The sequence below is a fragment of the Homo sapiens genome, chromosome 20 (genome assembly GCF_000001405.40).
Source record: "Homo sapiens chromosome 20, GRCh38.p14 Primary Assembly".
In the NCBI taxonomy this organism is placed as follows: domain Eukaryota; kingdom Metazoa; phylum Chordata; class Mammalia; order Primates; family Hominidae; genus Homo; species Homo sapiens.
In genome coordinates, this window is record NC_000020.11 from 50,667,132 (window position 1) to 50,688,020 (window position 20,889).

The 20,889-nt window shown below is 49.8% G+C and overlaps 1 protein-coding gene and 1 long non-coding RNA gene across 16 annotated transcripts in view; one reads left to right on the forward strand and one right to left on the reverse strand.

Moving 5' to 3' along the window:
* Positions 1 to 20,889, reverse strand: part of RIPOR3 (RIPOR family member 3) — a 105,435-nt gene that overhangs the window by 81,024 nt on the left and 3,522 nt on the right. The gene's annotated exons all lie outside the window — the stretch shown is intronic.
* Positions 82 to 7,289, forward strand: LOC105372659 (uncharacterized). 5 transcript variants are annotated; one of them, XR_007067644.1, is made up of 5 exons: positions 82 to 128; positions 629 to 723; positions 3,381 to 3,452; positions 5,770 to 5,977; positions 6,786 to 7,289. It is a non-coding gene; the product is annotated as an uncharacterized LOC105372659 (long non-coding RNA). The 5 variants fall into 5 exon arrangements; XR_007067643.1 differs by lacking the exon at positions 82 to 128 and adding an exon at positions 389 to 505; XR_002958581.2 differs by lacking the exon at positions 82 to 128 and having other exon boundaries at positions 389 to 723.

Genomic DNA, 20,889 nt, shown 5'->3' on the forward strand with positions numbered 1-20,889 from the left:
GGGAAGGGAACATTAACCATCAGCCGGCAAAGTTAAAATTCCCCTCCAGCCCACTTAAATGGACTGAAACCTCCACCCCATCCCCAAACGAGCCTCCCTGGCCTTGTCCTTGAACATTTCAAAATCGGGTTTCTGCTTTAAGTTCTTTAAACTACTTTTTTTTTTTTTTTTTTTTTTTTTGAGAGGGAGTCTCGCTCTGTTACCCAGGCTGGAGTGCAATGGCACGATCTTGGCTCACTGCAACCTCCACCTCCTGGGTTCAAGTGATTCTCCTGCCTCAACCTCCCAAGTAGCTGTGATTACAGGCACCCGCCACAACGCCCAGCTAATTTTTGTATTTTCAGTAGAGACGGGGTTTCACCATGTTGGTCAGGCTGGTCTCAAATTCCTGACCTCGTGATCCGCCTGCCTCGGCCTCCCAAAGTGCTGGGATTACAGGCGTGAGCCACCGCGCCCGGCCGCTGCTTTAAGTTCTTAACACGTCCTCACCGCGGCTCAGCTCACTGTACGGCCCCTGCATAGAGAGGGGAGGGCAGGGGCCATGATACTGAACTCACAGCTCTGGGCATTTCTGAAGTCTGGCCCTTGAAGCTTTTCCTAGAGCAAATTGTTTTCTTCTCCCCTTCAGGAAACTGAAAATTCACACAGCAGCCGTGGGAGTCAGAGTAGCAAAGGCTTTGAGATCACATAGACCTGGGACACGTGCTTGCTTTGTGATTACGGGTAAGTTCCGTAGCCTCTCTGAGCTTCCATTTCTCTTTCTGTGGAAAGGGGATACTAATACTGCCCACTGTGAGGGCTGTTTCTGAGATTCCATGCTGCTGTGACTAGCATCTGCCTGACTAGCAGAGGATAGTTACAGTGTCAGCGTCCATGGCCCTCTCATGAGACTGGGGCAGGGGGTGGGAAGGGTGTTTGGGACACCCTGGGAACCTTAGCATCATTCTGCCATGGGAGTATGACCTGCTGTTCCCTGGCTGCCCTCAGTCTGAGGCTTGCTCTGCCAGTCCCGGGAGAACTGTCCACTCATCATCCCGGCAGAGACAGATCTCTTTTTCGCTGTGCACAGGTGGGGAAACTGACTCTGCCCAGTCACCTGAGTCTGTTGACAGAGGCACCTGGCCATCTGTATCCTGGTCCTCAGCTCTGAGACCAGCAGGAAAGAGAGGAGGACATTCCTAATGGGGGACACAGTGACCTTCCTCCTCCTGCCCCTGATGCTCCCACCACTGTGGTCCCCTGGTGGTGCCAACCACTCAGACTCCAGAAGCTGAGTCCCCTCTCAGTCCCATGAACAGGCAAAGCTGCTTCCTGCAGAGGCCCCAACCTTTGCGCCTCCTCCTCAGAGAATCTGATTCTCCCTCCTCAGTGCGGTTCCTTTCCCACACACACCCACACAACAATCCAGACTCAGAGAATGGAGTGCCTCAAATTAGGGGAAATGGCCGGGCACAGTGGCTCACACCTGTAATCCCAGCACTTTGGGAGGTCAAGGCGGGCGGATCACTTGAGGTCAGGAGTTCAAGGCCAGACTGGCCAACATGGCAAAACTCCATCTCCCCTAAAAATACAAAAATTAGCTGGGCGTGGTGGCGGGTGCCTGTAATCCCAGCTACTTGGGAGGCTGAGGCGCGAGAATCACTTGAACCTGGATGGCAGAGGTTGCAGTGAGCCAAGATCAAGCCACTGCCCTCCAGCCTGGGCAACAGAGCGAGACTCCATCTCAAAAAAAAAAAAAAATTCAGGAAATGATGAGGCTGCACACACACATGCACACACCACACATGGCTCATGCATGCACATGACATGCATTCACATGCACACATGCCCATGCATGTATGTGTTCACATATGCACACACAGCACCTGCTCACATGCACACACAGGACAGTCACACACATGCACACACACGCATGCACATGCACACTCACATATACATTATACACATATGTACACATGGCGCGCACACACCCATACATGCATGCTCACACATGTGCACACATGGTGCACACTCACACACCCACACATGCATGCTCACACATGCACATACACACTCCCCTCTTCACCCAGCCACCCCGCTATTCATTCTGGATCCCCTTACCCAACCCTGGTTCAGGACCACCTCTCCTGACCCCTAGGCTAGGTCAGGCCACTCTCCTGACACCCTCATTACTCATAGGCTTTCTCTTCAGCACTTTTACCACGATTGTGACTAATTACATGTGTGATCATTTTGGTACCAGGTAATATTAATAGCTCGAAAAATATTACTGGGCTTTCCTCTTTGGCCTTTCTGGGTAAGTAGCCCTTCCCCTCTCAGGCCTGAGGCACCTGGCTACCTGGAAAATATTTGAATTTGTACAGAAGGAATAAAGAGGACCATGGCAGATCTAGTTCCTGATCATCAACACAGACTTTGCTATGAGACAGTAGGTTTAGAAGTCACCGCTGCGCACTGACCCTCTGGGGGCTTGGGAGGAAAGTGCTCTGAGACCACCCTCCAGCAGCTTAGGGGTGGGGCCCCTGGAGGTGCAGCAAGTTGAGAGGAAGGAAGCCCTGGTGTTTCGCTTTCCTTGGCCACACTGGTCCCCTCCGGGCCAGGATGGGCTCAATGTGTTCTTGCTCAGGTAGGTGACACCTCATTAAGACAAGGGGCAGAGGGACCTGCAGAAGGGTCTGGGAGTAGATGGCTCAGGTAGGGGTCAGATGCAGTAGAGAAGAGGGGGCTCTGAAAAAAAAAAAAAGGCTGGGCGCAGTGGCTCATGCCTGTAATCCCAGTACTTTGGGAGGCCAAGGCGGGTGGATCACCTGAGGTCAGGAGTTCAAGACCAGCCTGGCCAACCTGGCGAAACCCCATCTCTACTAAAAATACAAAAATTAGCCGGGCGTGGTGGCAGGCGCCTGTAATCCCAGCTACTCAGGAGGCCGAAGCAAGAGAATCACTTGAACCCGGGAGGCGGAGGTTGCAGTGAGCTGAGATCGCACCATTGCACTCCAGCCTGGGCAACAAGAGCAGAAACTCCATCTCAAAAAAAAAAAAAAAAAAAAAAGAAGAGGGCGCTCTGAGCCAAGGTAGAGCCAAGTCAACCAGGCAGGCGGAGGCCCAGAGCATGAGTTTTACCTACTGCCGGTTTCGGCCAAAATGCCAGAAAGCCAAGCAGCAATCTTGGGCATCGGACTTGGCTAGAAATCCCTCTCCTCCTGGGAAGTCTCGTCATCAACACCCAGACACCCCCACCCCCACCCACCCACCCAGTGCCAGCTTAGAGAAAAGCTGGGAGGAGCAGAAGGAAATTTGAGACCAAGCATTACCTAAAGGCCTAAAGTACTGGATCAGATTAAATTAAATCTAGTTCTTTTTCCTTGTTGCCCTATGAGTAGGCTTTGTGAGAAATATCAGATCCATTGCAGGAAATAAAGAAAAGACATGTTCTCTGCAGACCCACATGGCAGGTGAGTAAATGTACAGCATGGATATCCGTCACCAGCGGTGCATTCCCCTAGGCAGGCACCACACCGTCCTGTGGAGCATTGTGTTAGTAGGCGCTCAGTAAACACCCATGAAGTGAGTCAATGTATGATTAAATTCCAACCCTGCGTGGCAGCAGACAGGTGGCTGGTCTCTGGGACTGGGGAAGAACAAGGCTCTGTATGTAGTTGGCTTCCTCTGGAAGGACAGGTTTTAAGTCAGATCCGACTGGGTTCAAACCTTGGCTTGGCCAAGGCAGCTTCTAGCATGGCCTCCAGTGATCCCACCTCCTGGCCTGAGTGTGGGTGGACACTTCTGCTATTTATTTATTTATTTGATTTATTTTGAGACAGAGTCTTGCCCTGACACCCAGGCTGGAGTGCAGTGGTGTGATCTCCGCTCACTGCAACCTCCACCTCCCGGCTTCAAGTGATTCTCCTGCCTCAGCCTCCCAAGTAGCTGGAACCAAAGGCATGCACCACCATGCCTGGCTAATTTTTGTATTTTTAGTTGTTTAGGATTTGTTTTAGTTGTATTTTAGTTGTTTAGGGTTATTTTTAGTTGTATTTTAGTTGTTTAGGGTTTCACCATGTTGGCCAGGCTGATCTCAAACTCCTGACCTCAAGTGATCCACCCACCTCAGCCTCCCACAGTTCTGGGATTACAGGCATGAGCCACCATGCCCAGCCATGGGTAGGCACTTCTAATGAGCAGAATATGGCAAAAGGGACAGGATGTCACCTCCAAGATTACGTTATAAAAGACAGTGACTTCCACCTTTCTCTCTCCCTCTCTCTCACATGAGCACGCGCGCGTGCACGCGCGCGCGCACACACACACACACACACACACACACACACATAACTTCTTGGCTTTCTTGCTTTGACACAGCAAGCTGCCATGCTGGAGATACCCACATAGAAAAGAATTGAAATCAGCCTCCAGCCACTAATAGATAGATAACTAATAGCAATAGATAACTAATACAGCCACTCATTAGCTCTGCCCTCAGACCAGTTCTTAACCTGTATGTGTGTACCCTCATCTGAAAATGGGCATAATAGCACATCCCCACCATACAGGCTAATTGTGAGGACCACGAAAATGAATGGATGGGTGGATGGGTAGATGGGTAGATGGATGGAAGGATGGTTGGGTGGGTGAATAGATGAATGGGTGGGCGAAGGGATGGATGGATGGATGGATGGATAGATGGATGGATGGATGGATGAGTGGGTAGATGGGTGGATGAGTGAGTGGGTGGGGATGGGTAAATTGGTGGATGGATAGATGGATGGGTGGAAGGAAGAAAAGATGGATGGATGGATGGATGGATGGATAGGTGGATGAGTAGATGGTTAGGTGGATAGGTGGATGGGTGCGTGGATGGATGGATGGATGGATGGATGGATGGATGGATGGGTAGGTGGGTGGGTGGGTGATTGGATGGATGGAAGGATGGATGGGTGGATAGATGGAACCACTGGCTGGAGCCGTGTGAATATCACAGAATCAGGAAGTGAAGCCCAATCAGTAAGTCCCGATGGGGCTGTGAATAACCCTCACTGAGCAGCTGTCACAAGGCTAAGCACCTGGCTGTCCCCCTAGGAAAGCCCCTCACCAAGGTGAAGCTCTACCTCCGTCCTCACTTCACCCGCAGCCCGTTCCTCCTGGGGCTGCAAAGGACCAGTGCTTAGAGCTACCTCTGGTCAGAAGCCAGCAGAGTCCTACAGTAAAAGGGGTTGGGGCCCCCTGCTGAGCTCAGTACTGAAGAGGAGGCATGGCCAGGCAGCCCAGCACCCTCTGCCCTCCACCCAGCAACCCCCAGGCTAGATTCTGCCATCCTTTTCTCATTGATTATGTTCCCCATGAGGCTGCTCTTGCCCAAAAGCTGGCCCAGCTTGACACCACAGAGACAAACCAACCAACAGCCACAGCATCTGATAGCCCCAGTAACTGACTCTTGTGGGAAGGCCGCGGCCAGCTGGCCTGAGTCCCACAGCCTGACCATGGCTCCGTCAGTGGCCAGTCCTGGGGGCAACAGGGACACAGGGGAAGGGTCAGGCCCCAGCTCTCATGGTGTAACAGATACCAGCTCCAAGTCAGGAGAATGGACTTTCCACCTGCATGCACGTCACAGTGCCCAGAACCCTAACAGACATGCATCAGACTTGACACCTTCCCCACCCACCACCCCAGGTTTGGCTGCCCATAGAGGCGCACACCTGTCCTCCCATCTCCTCCTGGGCTGGAGCCATGTGAGCAGAAGGGGATGTGAAGACAGATCCTTGATGTCCACAGGTGCGGGGACTGCTTGCCAACCCATGGCAACTCACCTGTAGCGCATGGAGATTTGGGGGTAAACCCAGTGATGCTGAGTATGTGGGCTGCCCAAGCTGGGTGGCAACCAACCCCAGCATTGAATGTGCTGAGAGCTGGACCGGTGGATGTCCCCACTGCCCTGAGGCAGGTCCAGGAGAAGGCTCCTACCTGCTGTGCAGAGGGCAAGGTAAGTCTTGTCCTTGATCTACAGCCAGAAGACAGCAGGGCTGCTTCTGTCTGCGTCCCAGCCTCCACTCTTCTCTAGATACCATCACCACCATGACAACTGCAGTTAACACTTAGTGAAGACCCCTAGGTGCCACGCGCCCATGCAATACCCACAGACCCCTCTGAGGTAGGCCCTGTAATGGTCCCTACGTTAGGGAGGGGCGGTCCCAGGCCCAGCTGGTCAGTGAGGGAGGTAGGATTTGAACCCAGGCAGCCTGGCTTTGGGGCATTGCTCTCTGCCACGTGGCCGGTTCCTACACCCTTGCCAGCTACCCCCTGCAAAGGTGGCCAGCCTGGCTTTGTCCTTCAGGATCCTCTGATCTCTCTCAGGGGCCTCCAACCCACCCACTGGCTCTCCCTGCTGACAAAGCAACTATTTCCTGGCCCCAAAGCCCCAGTCTCTGGAAATGACCCTCCTTCCTTCTCCAGCTCATGGCTGTCAGAGGCTCCTAACTGCACCCACCCCCGATCAGCCAAAGCCAATTACTCCACGTCCAAGACACAGGCGTGTTAAAATGTAAACGGCCATTCATCATCTGGCAGCGTGACCGTTTGCCCCTATCAGGCCCCAGTCCGGCCTCACCACGCCTCCATGCTCTCCTCAGCGTCAAAGAAACAGCCTTGTCCTGCCAGGGCCTTCGCCAGGCCCGGCCTGGGAAGTCAGGGCTCTCTGACCCAATGGAGCGAATCGTTGCGAGCATTTATTTAATAGCATTATCTTGATGATGAATAAATCACACCTTCATGAACCATTTTTCCATTTGTAGCCCCAAGTCAAGACTCCCAAAATGTTACCAGATGTCAGGCATGAAATATACACCCCTGGCAAGCTCTGCCATGCACAGGAGTCATGCTGCTTTCAATCCACGGGAGAGCCGGACACGAGCGTTCCAAGGCAGGAGCAGAACTCCATGTTGGCCATTATAAAGACAAGATTCCTTTTCCCCCGCTTTTTATAGCCTCTCTGGGTAAGATGTGTCTGGAAGGAGGTGTGGGCCAGGAAAGAGCATATGTCTGATGCCTGGGATTCCAGGACAGAAAGTACAGCCGACTCCAAGCTCTTGGGATGGGATTGGAGGGTCTCAAAACCTTGCCAGCTTTGGAGTCAGAGAGAAAAGAGTCCCAACCCCAGATTTATCATTTGCTAACAAATGTGACCTTGGGCAAATCAGCTCACCTCTCTGGCCCTCAACAGAGATAATCCTGGGACCTATTTCACAGTCATGGAGAGGATTAAATGGGAAGAGGAATAAAAGGAGTTTGGAGAAGTGCCCAGGACATAGTATGCACTGAGCAAATTCCGTAGTAAGAGGAGTATTAGTAATAGCTACTATTGATTAGGTGGTGTTGTGAGTTGAACAGTGTTCCCCCAAAATTCATGTCCACCCAGAGACACAGAATGTGACCATTTGTGGAAATAGGGTCTTTGCAAATGTAATTAGTTAAGATGAGGTCATACTAGATTAGGGTAGGCCCTAAGTCTAATGACTGGTGTCCTTATTAGAAGAGGATAGGGGCTGGGCACAGTGGTTCACACTTGTAATCCCAGGGCTTTAGGAGGCTGAGACAGGAGGATGGCTTGAGCCCAGAAGTTCAAGACCAGCCTGGACAACATACTGAAACCCATCCAGTCTCTAAAAAAGAAACTAAAAGCCAGGTGCAGTGGCTTACATCTGTAATCCTAGAACTTTGGGAGGCTGAGACAGGAGGATCACTTGAGGCCAGGAGTTCAAGACCGGCCTGGGCAACATAGCAAGACCCCATCTCTATTAAAAAATAAATAAATAATAAATAAAATTAAACTTAAAAAATTTAAAAATTAGCCAGCCATGGTGGGAGGATTGCTTGAGCCCAGGAGTTTGAGGCTGCAGTGAGCTATGATCAGGCCACTGCACTCCAGCTTGAGCAACAGAGTGAGATCCTGTCTAAAACAAGATGGGACACACAGGAAGTGGTGGTGCAAAGATGGTGCAGCCGCAAGCTGAGGAACAACAAGGATCCCTGACCACCAGCAGAAGCTAAGAGGCAAGAAAGGATTCTTCCTTAGAGTCTTCAGAGGGAAAGTGGCCCTGCTGACACCCTGATTTCAAACTTCTAGCATCCAGAACTGTGAAAGAACGAGTTTCTGTTGTTTGAAGCCACCTAGTTGGAGGTGCTTCATTACAGCAGTCCTAGGAAGCTAATACAGGTGGTTACCATGCACTAGGTTCTCTGCATTATAAATGCATCATATGTGTGAATTCACCTAAATCCTCACAACAACTGTAAGAGGTTACTATACCATGTTACAGAGAGAGTGATCAAGACTCAGAGAAGTTAAGGGACTCATAGCTGGATCTAGATTTGAATTTGGTCTATCTGGTCTAAAGCCCACTTTTAAGGACCAACTGTGTATGCCAAGTGCTAGAGCCACTTCCTTGCTCAGTCCTCACCGACCACACTGTGCTATCTTTATTCACATTTTGCAGTTGAGGAAACAGGTTCAGGCAGGTCTGTCCAAGGCCACCCTATTTAGGGTCTGACAAAGCCAGGTTCATCTGACTCCAATGCCAACGCCCATGCTGTTGACCAGACCATCCCTGCCAACTTCCCAATATGAATGCTTTGAGTGGCTCTCGGCCCCCGGGCTGTGGAACACCAGCACACCAGTGCCTGGAGGGCAGCAGCTGTCCAGCAAATGTCTGCTCATTCATTTGTTCACGCATTCAGGGCAAGTCGAACGGCAGACGGGGCAGGAGATCCAGGGCCAGCATCGATGGTGCAGGGAGCCCTCTGGCCCCTTAAATATCCTCAGACAATCCCAGAAATCATTCCTGGGTCTACCTTATGTGGGTTTTCTAGAATAGCTACTGCTGAACTGTAGGGTAGTGAGGGAGAGACACAAATACAGGCAAAACCACACAACAGCGAAGATTCCATAAGGGCAGGAGTGTTTTTCCACCAGGAAACAAGAACCAGTTCATCTGAGTTCCTTCGCCTTTTGTCCCAAGACACAAAAATGTCAAAAATGTGCAAGGGCTCTGGCCACAGATGGATACTGTGTCTCACCCCGACGGGCTGCTTCCTGCATGGGGCTGAAGGTCAGGGTGAAGGTTGCTGCCCTGAGAGTCAGGGGAAGTTGGTCTGCCTCCTGCTGTGTCACGTACTTGCCATGGTGTGTGGGATGAGGCCCATCATCTCCCAGAATTAAGCTGTAGCTGACTATAAAACCACAGGTGAGGGCTGGGTGTGGGGGCTCATGCCTGTAATCCCAGAATTTTGGGATGCTAAGGCAGGAGGTTCGCTGGAGCCCAAGAGTTCAAGACCATCCTGGGCAACATAGAGAGACCCCGTCTCTACTAAAAATACAAAAATTAGCCAGACATGGTGGTGCATGCCTGTGGTCCCAGCTACTCTGGAGGCTGAGGTAGGAGGATCACTTGAGCCCAGGAGGTCAAGGCTGCAGTGAGCCGTGATCATGCCACTGTACTCCAGCTGGGGCCACAGAGCAATACTCAGTCTCAAAACAAAATAAAAAAACCCACAGGTGAGGTCACATCAGGCTTTTCCCCTTTATTCTCCCTAAGGGCTCCACAACATCAGAAATGGGTTTCTCTATCAGTGCATCCTCCAGATTCTACTTTTTTTTTTTTTTTTTTTTTAGTAGAGGTCTTGCTTATACCCAGGCTGGTTTCAAACTCCTGGGCTCAAGCAATCCTCCTGCCTCATTCTCCCAAAGTGCTAGGATTACAGGTGTGAGCCACCCACACCCAGCCCAGATACTGGGCCCTGTCCGTCAATCCATTTGCAGTCACCAAGCACCAGCTGCGTGCACCGCATTGTGCCAATGTCTGGAAGGATGCTCACAACTATCAACACAGATAACTAATAATATCAACAATACCACAGTGTAAATGCAAAGCAATATGTGCCTGGTCTCATTTAATTCTCACATCAAACCCTTGGGATACATATCATTAGCACCCTCATTTGCTAGAGAAAACTCAGTTCTGAGGGTGGATGATTTGCCAAGGCCCTGGGAATTCGGACTAACTCCCTTCATAGGTGGCTGCAAGTGCCTGTGGCCCAGACATTCCCATAGATAGGTCATTTTCTCACACCAGCTTATATTTCTTGTGCCAGACACAGGGTCCAAACCCATTTGCATTACGTCTCTGAGACTTCACAAGACCTTCCTGTGAATTTGTTACCATTATTATTATTATTTTCTTGTTTTACTTTTTTTTTTTTTTTTTTTTTTAGACCGAGTTCTGCTCTTGTTGCCCAGGCCTGGGTGCAGTGGCGCAATCTCGGCTCAATGCAACCTCCACCTCCCGGGTTCGAGCGATTCTTCTGCCTCAGCCTCCTGAGTAGCTGGGATGACAGACACACACCACCACACCTGGCTAATTTTTGTATTTTTAGTAAAAATGGGTTTTCACCATGTTGGTTAGGCTGGTCTCAAACGCCTGACCTCAGGTGATCCACCTGCCTCGGCCTCCCAAAGTGCTGGGATTACAGGCGTGAGCCACCGCGCCTGGCCTTTTTTTTTTTTTTTTGAGACAAGATCTCACTCTGTCACCCAGGCTGGAGTGCAGTGGGGCGATCTCAGCTCACTGCAACCTCTGCCTCCCTGGTTCAAGTGATTCTCCTGCCTCAGCCTCTCAAGTACCTGGAATTACAGGCACGTGCCACCACGCCCAGCTAATTTTTGTATTTTTAGTAGAGACGGGGTTTCACCATGTTGGCCAGGCTTGTCTTGAACTCCTAACCTCAACTGATGCACCTGTCCCGACCTCCCAAAGTGCTGGGATTATAGGCATGAGCCACCGCGCCTGGCCTTATTATTCGTCTTCTTAGTCTGCTTTCAGATGAGGACACGGAGCCACAGGAGTTACAAGGGTGGAGGTGCTGGGAAGTCAGGACCAAAATCAGCCTCCTGACTCCCCATCTCATTTTCTCAATCATCATGGGTTTTGCCCCCCAAGAAGAGAACCAGCCACCATGGGTGCTAAACCGGTGGCTGATATAGCAAAGTGTGTTGGAGCAGAGATCCCAGCGGGCTTCCTAGAGGAAGATCACAAAAAATGGGCAGAGCCCACAAGGCACAGTACAGGTTTCCTCTCTCCAGTCCACATAAGGGCATTCACCAGGAACCTGGGGGCTGGGTGGCCTTGGCCCAACCCTCTGAAACTCACCCTGTGGCTCCTCACTCACCAGATGGACACAGCAGGAATCTGTCCCACCTGGCTCAGGGAGGGCCTACCCCCACCTCCCACCCCACCCCACAGGCCTGTTTGCATGCCAGGCCAGAGTTGGCCACATGCCCACATATCTCTCCTCGTTCTGCAGGCTCCGGGAAGGAAAGTCCAAGGCCAAGGTTATCATGGGGTTCACATACCTTAAGGGGTGGGTGGAGGGGTTGGCTCACAAGCTACAGGTTATTCAATGCAGTGCTATTCGTGATCACAAAAGATCGGAACTGATCTCACGTCCATCATCAGGGGACTGGACTAAGATATTTTGGCACAACCACATACGACTCAAGTGTCAAGGGAGGAAGAGTGGGGGAGTCTTGAATAAATAACAAAAGCTGGCGTTGACACAGGACTTTGCACATGGTGGAGGCTCCTTGCAAGTGCTTTGCATGTTATTAACTCATTCAATCCTTACATCACCCCAGGAGGAGGAACCATTATTATCTGTTTAAAATGCCTGTAATCCCAGCACTTTGGGAGGCCCAGGTGGGAGGATCACTTGAGTTCAGGAGTTCAAGACCAGCCTGGGCAACAAAGTGAGACTTCATCTCTACAAAAAATTCAAAAAATTAGCCAAGCCTGGTGATCCACACCTGTAGTACTAGCTATTCAGGAAGCCAAGGTGGGAGGATTGCTTGAGCCCAGGAATTCGAGGCTGCAGTGAGCCAGGATTGCACCACTACACTCCAGCCTGGGTGACAAAGCAAGATCCTGTCTCAAAAAAAAAAAAAAAAAAAAAAAAAAAAAAAATATATATATATATACACACACACACACACAGAGAGAGAGAGATACACATATAATATTTTAAAATATATATACCTCAAAAAATATATATATAATATTTAAAAATATATAAAATGAGGGTGCCACTTGGTTGAGTTTATGGTTAAAAAAAAGAATAAAATTTAAAAAAGAGGCACCAAGAAGTGAAGTTTCTTGCCCCAGGTTCATGGCCAACAAACAGTGGACTGGGCCGGGCACGGTGGCTCACACCTGTAATCCCAGCAATTTGGGAGGCTGAGGTGGGAGGATCGCTTGAGTTCAGGAGTTCGAGACCAGCCTGGGCAACATGGCAAGATCCCATCTCCACTGGTGCAGTGGCTCACGCCTGTAATCCCAGCACTTTGGGAGGCTGAGGTGGGCAGATCACAAGGTCAGGAGATCGAGACCATTCTGGCAAACATGGTGAAACCCTGTCTCTACTAAAAATACAAAAAAAAAAAAAAAAAATTAGCCGGGCGTGGTGGCGCTCACCTGTAGTCCTAGCTACTCGGGAGGCTGAGGCAGGAGAATCACTTGAACCTGGGAGGCAGAGGTTGCAGTGAGCCGAGATCGCGCCACTGCACTCGGGCCTGGGCAATAGAGTGAGACTCTGTCTCAAAAAAAAAAAAACCGTCTCTACTAAAAAACTGCAAAAATTAGCCAGGCATGGCGGCATACACCTGTAGTCCCAGCTACCCAGGAGGCTGAAGTGGGAGGATCACCCGAGCTCAGGAGGTTGAGGCTGCAGTGAGCCAAGATCACACCACTGCGCTCCAGCCTGGCAACCAGAGTAAGATCCTGTCTCAAAACAAACAGACAAACAAACAGTAGACCTGGAATTTGGTGCAAGCAGCAGGGCCAGATCCATGCTTGGTCCTCTCCTCCCAGCATCTCTGTTTTGTCCTGGGTCCCTCTGCCAGGAGCTCCCTGGAACCCGGGAAGGAAGAGAAGCATGCAGACAAGCGTCAGCACCCCCACCCTCCGCTGGCCTTGGGGAGCAGGTGTCATTAGACGAGGCTCAACTGAAGCCTGCATCTGAAACAGATTCTCATAACTCAGGCGCTGTGGTAGCCAACTTCTCTCTACAGTCAATTACGGCCAGCGGGGCCCACTGATTATTTTTATAGCCTTTCCTGGAGTCATGACAAGGAAAACTAAATGATCCACAGGACCCCTTTCATCACTAACAGCCGGGTTTCACGGTTGGGGGTGGAGGAAGGAAAGAAAAATCACTTTTTTCCCCACTTTGAGTTAATCAACAGAACTCAAGTCTGGGCAGCCAATATGTTGGTGTTGAGAAAAGCTGTTCTCAAGCAGAACTAATTGGCAACAGAAATGGAATTTTCTTCCCCACCTCCCTAAAAAACATAAACATGCTTTATCCCAGAGAATTACCCTTCAGAATAGGTATTGCAGACGTGTCGTGTGCAGCCGCCTGTGCGAGGCTGGTAATCTCACGCCGACCTGGCCAAAGGCTGCCTGTGCTGGTTACAGCTCAACCAGAGCAGCCTCTTACGCAATACAATGGTCATGAAGGTCAGTGGCCCAAACCAGCCCAGCCAGACCAGAGTGGACACTTGCTTTCCTGATGCCCAGCACCTATCTCCTGCTCCTACGAACAGCCTTTGGCTTTTGTTGGGTCGGGGGGTGGGAGGGCACCCTGATTTGCAGGTACAAGTGTGAGTGGCATTGATACCCCCTCAACTCCAGAGATGAGCTCTGACAGGCGTAAGCCAAAGAACATATTCCGGGGAAATTTCAAGAAGGGGCATATGACCTAACAAGAAACAATAGCTGGCACAGTGGCTCACACCTTAATCCCAGGACTTTGGGGGGCTAAGGCGGGTGAATCTATTTCAGCTCAGGAGTTTGAGACCAGCCTGATCAACAAAGTGAGACCCCAGTCTCTGCAAAAAATAAAAACTGGCTGGGCGTGGTGGTGCATGCCTGTAGTCCCAGCTACTTGGGAGGCTGAGATGGGAGGATCTGCTTGAGCCCAGGAGGTGGAGGCTGCAGTGAGCCAAGATTGCACCACTGCACTCCAGCCTGGGCGACAAAGCCAAACTCTGTCTCAAAAAAAAAAAAAAAAAAGAAAAGAAAAGAAAAGAAACAATAAGGCACTAGAAAAAAAAAAACATATAATGAGGCTTCTGGAAAAGATAGCTCTTTTTATTTTAGAGAAATTGAGGTTCAAAGACGTGATGTAACTGCTCAGAGGTATACAGTGAGGTGGTAGGGGATCCAGGGTTTGAACCCAAGTCTGTAGGACTGAGGAGTTTGCAACCCTTCACTGCAGGCGCTACTGAAAGGCAGCATAAACCTTGGACGAAGCCAGAAGAGCTGGATTCAAACCCAGTTCTGCCATTTACTCCCTGTGTAATTTCAGGCAAGTCACTTAACCTCTCTGTTCCTCAGTTTCCATATCTGTAAAGTGGGGCTTCTAAGGGCACCTCCATTTGCAGGATCTGAGAGGTAAATAATTAACAGCAATATCTGTAAAGTGCATGCAACAGTGCCTGTCACGGACCAAGGATTCGCCCCTTCCTCACCACACCGTTCCCCACACGCGTTGAGAACCAGACCAAATAAAAGGAGGTGGAGGGGAGGAAGGAAAAGTTGATGTTATCAGATCTGTAATCCCTACGCCATGTGTTCCTTTCTGTAGCACAGCTGCCAGGCTTGCCTCTCCTGCAGGAGAAGCTGTGCCACAAAGATGTGGGACGTCACAAACACGCAGCCCATTCAAGGCTTTTGGACATTCCAGCCCCGTCCTTGATGTCAGTCAAGATCTAGGGCAAATTCCACCCATTCAGGTGGCAAAAAGTAAGATGTTTGACAAATGCCATGTGTAGAGGGTGGCTTGTGAATTGGTACAACCATTAGAAGATAATTCAGCATACGATTTCATATTCCAGCAATTCTACTTCCAGGTACAAACTTGAGACACACTCCTGTATGTGTGCAATAGGACAGTACAAGAACCCTCAAAGCAGAACCGTGTATGTAGCAAACAAAACTGACAAATGGAAACAACCCACATGGTCATAGACAGGAAAAATAAATGCTGGTATGCCATGGAATAGTACACAGCAGAGAAAAGTGAATGAACAAGTGATAAGCAATTATATCAACGAATTTTAGCAATAAAATGATTTATAAAAATGTAAGTGCAGGGGCTGGGCACCATGGCTCACACCTGTAATCCCAGCCCTTTGGGATGCTAAGGCAGGCTGATTGCTTGAGGCCAGGAGTTTGAGGCCAGCCTGGGCAATATGCAACATGGCAAAGCCCCGTCTCTACAAAAACGTAGCCAAGTGTGGTGGTGCACGCCTGTAGTCCCAGCTACCAGGGAGGCTGAGGTGGGAGGATCACCTGAGCCCAAGAAGTCAAGGCTACAGTGAGCTGAGATTGCACCACTGCACTCCAGCCTGGGTGACAGAGTGAGACCCTGTCTCAAAATATGTGTGTGTGTGTGTGTCTGCATGTATGTGCCAGAAGACAAGATATATCTTTACGTAAAGTTCAAACAGCAGTAAAAGTAAATGATATATTATTTTGGCATACATGTAAGTGATAAAACTTTTTTTTTTTTTGAGACGGAGTTTCGCACTCATCGCCCAGGCTGGAGTGCAGTGGAGCAATCTTGGCTCACCGCAACCTCTGCCTGCCATGTTCAAGTAATTCTCCTGCCTCGGCCTCCCTAGTAGCTGGGTTTACAGGCATGCACCACCACACCTGGCTAATTTTATATTTTTAGTAGAGACGGGGTTTCTCCATGTTGGTCAGGCTGGTCTCGAACTCCTGACCTCAGGTGATCTGCCCGCCTTGGCCTCCCAAAGTACTGGGATTACAGGCATGAGCCACCGTGCCTGGTGATAAAACTATTTTTTTAAGCAAGGGAAATTGAGAAGATGAAAATGTTCTGGAAATGGATGGCGCTGATAATTGCCCAACATTGTGAATGTGCGTAATGCCGCTGAATTGTACCCTTAAAATGGCTAAAGTGATAAATTCTATCCACAATTTTTAGAAAGGCAAGGGAAAGCTAAACACAGAATTCAAGATAGCAGCTACTACCACAGTGAGAGAGGGAGGGAGGCAAGATGGGAAAAGAGTTCGGAAGTTGATATAAAATGGTTGTCTGAGTTCCAGCACGCAGGTGGGACCATGGGTTCACAGGCATTTATCATTTTATAAATAGCTATAAAGAGATTGTTAGATGGAAGTGTAGGTGGGGCTGTTCAGGTGCCCTTTCAGTATGTCATTATGGAATTATGAATCATTCAATCCTACTTACTTTTTCTTTTTTTTTTTTCTTTGAGACGGAGTCTCACTCCATTGGCCAGGTTGGAGTGCAGTGGTGAGATCTCAGCTTGCTGCAACCTCCAGCTCCTGGGTTCAAGTGATTCTTGTGCCTCAGCCTCCCGAGTAGCTGGGATTACAGGTTCATGTCACCACACCTGTCTTATTTTTGTATTTTTAGTAGAGACGGGCTGTCTCTACTCCTGTTGGTCAGACTGGTATCAAACTCCTGACTGCAGGTGATCCACCTGCCTCGGCCTCCCAAAGTACTGGGATTACAGGTGTGAGCCACCACACCTGGTCAATTCTACTTACTTGAGGTCCATTTTTAAAATTCTAGAGGAGGCCGGGTGCAGTGTCTCACACCTCTAATCTCAGAAACTTTGGGAGGCCAAGGCAGGTGGATCACCTGAAGTCAGTAGTTCAAGACCAACGTGGCCAACATAGCAAAACCCTGTCTCTACTAAAAATACAAAAATTAGTTAAGCGTGGTAGTGTGCACCTATAATCCCAGCTACTCGGGAGGCTGAGGCAGGAGAATCACCTGAACCCGGGAGGCAGAGGTTGCAGTGAGCCGAGATTACACCATTGTACTCCATCCTGGGCGACAGTGTGAGGCTCCATCTCAAAAAAAAAAATAAATCCCTACCTTCAGGAAACTCACATTCCAGCAGGGGACACTTAAGAAAATAAGAATATATATGTATGTTAGATGATGAGACGTGTGTGGTAAGGAGAAAAATAAACCAGAAAAGGGATGAAGAAGACCAGGGAGTGAAGGAAGCTGTAATTTTAAATGGAGAGTCAGGATGGCCTCGCTGCAAAGGTGATGTTTGTGTAAAGACCTGCGCGATATGAACAAGTGGGCCACTTGGATATCTGAAGAATGAGCACCCAGGCATAGAGAAAAGCGATTGCAAAGGTCCTGGGGCAGGACTGTGCCCGACCTCAAGAACAGCAATTGTGGGGAGTGGGAAGGAGGAGAGATAAGGTTAGAGAGGCCTGGGCCCTGCAGGCCTTGTGGGCCGTGATGAGGACTTTGCCTGTGCTCTGGGCAAGGTGGGACCAGGGCTGGAGATAGGAGGTGTCCTGAACAGAGAAGGAACTGGATCTAATTTCATTTTAACAGGACCCTGCTGGCTGCACACGGAGAGTAGACCAGGAGGGAGGCAAGAGGAGAAGCAGAGACACTGGTGGGGAGGCAACTGCAATAGCCCAGAGAGAGACACCATGGCCGCTGGGACCAGGGTGGAGGGAGCGGAGGTGACAGAGCTGTCAGCTTCTGGGTGCAGGTTGACAGGGGAGCCAACGGAATTTCTTTTCTGTTCCTCTTTGTTTTTGAGACAGCGTCTCATTCTGTCACTCAGGCTGGATTGCAGTGGCACAAACATGGCTCATTGCAGCTTCAACTTCCTGGGCTCAAGTGAGCCTCCTACCTCAGTTTCCCGAGTACCTGGGACCACAGGTGCATGCAACCACACCCAGCTAATTTTTAAAAATATGTTTGTAGAGACAAAGGTCTTGCTATGTTGACCAGGCTGGTCTTGAACTCCTGGTCTCAAGCGATCCTCCTGCCTTGGCCTCCCAAAGTGCTGAGATTGTAGGTGTGAGCCACCACGTCCAGTGTAGAATTTCTTTTTTGCTGGAAAGTGGGAGAGGCTGGGCTCTATTTAAGTGTTTAAGGGTCAAGAAAGTTTGAGACCTGGTTATAAAGTAGAGACATGGCCATCCAAACTGAGCCCTTCTTGAGAGCTGATGATGGGATAGAATTTTTTTTTTTTTTTTTTTGAGATGGAGTCTTGCTCTATCACCCAGTGCAGTGGCGCGATCTCGGCTCACTGCAACCTCCGCCTCCCAAGTTCAAGCGATTCTCCTGCCTCAGCCTCCCGAGTAACTGAGATTACAGGAGCCCGCCACTGCGCCTGGCTAATTTTTGTATTTTTAGTAGAGACGGGGTTTCACCATCTTGGCCAGGCTTGTCTTGAACTCCTGACCTCGTGATCCACGTGCCTCGGCCTCCCAAAGTGCTGGGATTACAGGCATGAGCCACTGCGCCTGGCCTGATGGGATAAAATTTTTTAAAAAATAGGCTGGGCACGGTGGCCCACACCTGTAATCCCAGCATTTTGGGAGGCCAAGGTGGGCGGATCACCTGAGGTCAGGAGTTTGAGACCAGCCTGGCCAACATGGCGAAACCCCCGTCTCTACTAAAAATACAGAAATCAGGCATGGTGGCATGTGCCTGTAATCCTAGCTACTCGGGAGGCTGAGGCAGGAGAATTTCTTGAACCTGGGAGGCAGAGGTTGAAGTGAGCAGGATCACGCCACTGCACTCTAGCCTGGGTGACAGAACGAGACTCTGTCTCAAAAAAAAAAAAAAAAACCCTCCTCTTCTAGGACTTCTGTGATGTGGGCATTAAAATGAATGTTTTAGGTCTTCATGGGCTCACATGGAAAAATGTCCAGGACACCTGTTGGTTGAAAGAAGGAAGATGCAGAATAAAATGTATAGAATGATCCCATTTTTGAAAATTAAAATTACGTGACAAAGAAAAAAATAGGAATGAAGTGAATGAATGGCCTGAAAGCATAGACGCCTGGCTCTTTCTTTGTTTTTTTTAAGAAGGAGTCTCGCTCTGTTGCCCCAGGCTGGAGTGCAGTGGCGCAATCTCGGCTCACTGCAAGCTCCGCCTCCCGGGTTCACGCCATTCTCCTGCCTCAGCCTCCCGAGTGGCTGGGATTACAGGCGCCCACCACCATGCCCAGCTAATTTTTTGTATTTTTAGTAGAGACGGGGTTTCACTGTGTTAGCCAGGATGGTCTCGATCTCCTGACCTCGTGATCCACCCGCCTCGGCCTCCCAGAGTGCTGGGATTACAGGTGTGAGCCACTGCGCCCGGCCAAGACAACGGGCTCTTAACAGGGGTGGCCCAGGGTGAGTATAGGAGCTACTGAGGTTTAAACTCAGGCGCGCCCTTCCTACCTCGCAAAACAATAAAACACGCATGCTTGGGGCCGGGCATGGTGGTTCATGCCTGTAATTCCAGCACTTTTGGAGGCCTACGCGGGTAGATCACCTGAGGTCAGGAGTTCGAGACCAGCCTGACCAATATGGTGAAACCCCATCTCTACTAAAAATACAACAATTAGCCAGGTGTGGTGGTGGGCACCTGTAGTCCCAGCTACTCAGGAGCTCCTGAGACAGGAGAATCACTTGAACCCAGGAGGCGGAGGTTGCAGTGAGCTGAGATCGCACCACTGCACTCCAGCCTGGGCGACAGAGCGAGACTCTGTTAAAAAAAAAAAAAAGAAAGAAAGAAAAAAAAGTGCACGTTTTTTAGTTCTCTTTTAAACTGCTGTGGGCATGGTTCTCCTCTTGTATTGCAGTTGCGTTTCTCTTAGCTAATGTCCCACCTGGGCCTTGTCCTTGGCCTGGACTATAAGAGAGCGGAACTTGAGAATGAGAAATATTTTCCTCTCGTGCTTGCTGGCTTAGGCCCTTAAAACTGGAAAGGGCCCACCTGGCTCCTAGAGTTTCTAAAAATAGCAAGCTATCTGAACTTTTCCTATAGGTTTGGCTTAGCCGTTCCTCTGACTTGTTCCAAGATGCCATTTCTGTTAGGGCATCATTCGCTGTGCATGAAAACAAAGGATGGCAGGAGACAGACTAGAAACGGAAGAGGACTAATCGGGAGCCGCTGCGGACAGAATCCAGAAATGCCCTGCAAATGCAGACACAGTGGACGCAATGGAGAGTGCATACCAGGGCCTGTGTCGCTGGTGGAGCTGGGGCCCACATGCCGCTAGTGTAGACAGGATCTCTACTCCACCCGATCTCTCTGCATCCACTCCAGTGCTTCGGGCAAGAGAGAGGAGTTTGGCTGCTGGTTTAAGTGAGATGGGGAAATTGAAAGATTTGCATCCAAGGCCCATGCCTGGGGTCTGAATTCCTTTGGAAGAGGACTGAGGACTGTTCAGGAGACGATTTTTGACAATCCAGACACAACCATAGATGCTGTGGAACCAGTGGTATGCTGGCAAAGGTTTAGCAACCAGCTCTCCAAGGGAAAGTGAGTGTGTGGTGCACAAGTGTGCATGGGCGAGTACATATATTTGCATATCCACACACACATATACTTCGGTTTATTATAAATTGTATTGACGTAGGCTGGGCGCAGTGGCTCGTGCCTGTAATCCCAACACTTTGGGAGGCTGAGGTAGGTGGATCACTTGAGGTTAGGAGTTCGAGACCAGCCTGGCCAGCATGGTGAAACCCTGTCTCTGCCAAAAATATAAAAAACTAGCCAGGCATGGTAGCGGGTGCCTGTAATCCTAGCTATTTGGGAAGGTGAGACAGGAGAATTGCTTGAACCTGGGAGGCGGAAGTTGCAGTGAGCCATGATTACGCCACTGTCCTCCAGCCTAGGCAACAGAGTGTGACTCCATCTCAAAAAAAAAAAAAAATTGTTTTGATGTAAATGATGTGCAGCACACAATTTACAAATAAAAATAAAACTTACAATACCTTTTCTTTTATAAATGTAATATAATCATTTCACTCACAGGT